The 867-nt window shown below is 39.9% G+C and overlaps 1 non-coding gene across 1 annotated transcript; it reads right to left on the reverse strand.

The window, feature by feature from the left end:
* Positions 1-273: 273 nt before the first annotated feature.
* On the reverse strand, positions 274-345 carry TRC-GCA6-1 (tRNA-Cys (anticodon GCA) 6-1). Its single transcript has one exon. It is a non-coding gene; the product is annotated as a tRNA-Cys (tRNA).
* Between the last annotated feature and the right edge of the window lie 522 nt (positions 346-867).

Genomic DNA, 867 nt, shown 5'->3' on the forward strand with positions numbered 1-867 from the left:
AATATACAGGAAAGAAGAGATAAAGACACATGTAAGAAAGCACACGTGTGTGTGTATGTGTCATGGTTTATGACTGGGTTTGTGTGTGCATATTAGAGGCAGGGTGAGTTTATGTGAGATGGTAGCTCTGCTATAAGGGAACTAGTGAGCCAAGGCACTTGCATGAACCTGAGAGTAAGTATCTGCTTAAATTTTGAGCCTTACGCACCTTGCTTGCCTTACCCTAGTCCAGGATTTTTAATGAAGCTGCCAAGAGGAGCAAAAGTATGTCATAGGGGGCACCTGGATTTGAACCAGGGACCTCTTGATCTGCAGTCAAATGCTCTACCACTGAGCTACACCCCCTTGATGCCAATAACCTTCAAAAAACCATTTATTCCATTTTTATGACCTGCAAAACACCTCATAAATACCTTTGGTGTCTAACATTCCTTTCGAATTTAAACTCATCCCCAGTTTCCTCCTAGCCGTACCATCTTTTGTTTTTCCCAGAGCATTTATACTCATTCTCTTCCCAGCACCTGAAGCTCAATGCTGTATCCTCAGTCTAATATTCCAGCTTTAAAAAAATACACCACCAGCTGCCCATAGATCTCTGGGCACGTCAATGAATGTTTTGAGCATTAGGGGCTACCAACAAGTATTGGACATGGAGGAGATCTGAAGTGGGAATCCACAAATTGACTTCAGATGTTCATGTTCAATTCTGAAATTATAGGCAAATATTATGTATTTGCACATATTGTATATTGTGCATATTTTTATCAGATTTTCAACAGGGACCTCATCCAGGACCAACTATCTCACTTCAGTGTAAAAAAAAAAAAAAAAAAACACCAAAAAGAAAAACAAAGCACCCTGAATGTT

This window comes from Homo sapiens, chromosome 3, assembly GCF_000001405.40.
Source record: "Homo sapiens chromosome 3, GRCh38.p14 Primary Assembly".
Lineage (NCBI taxonomy): Eukaryota > Metazoa > Chordata > Mammalia > Primates > Hominidae > Homo > Homo sapiens.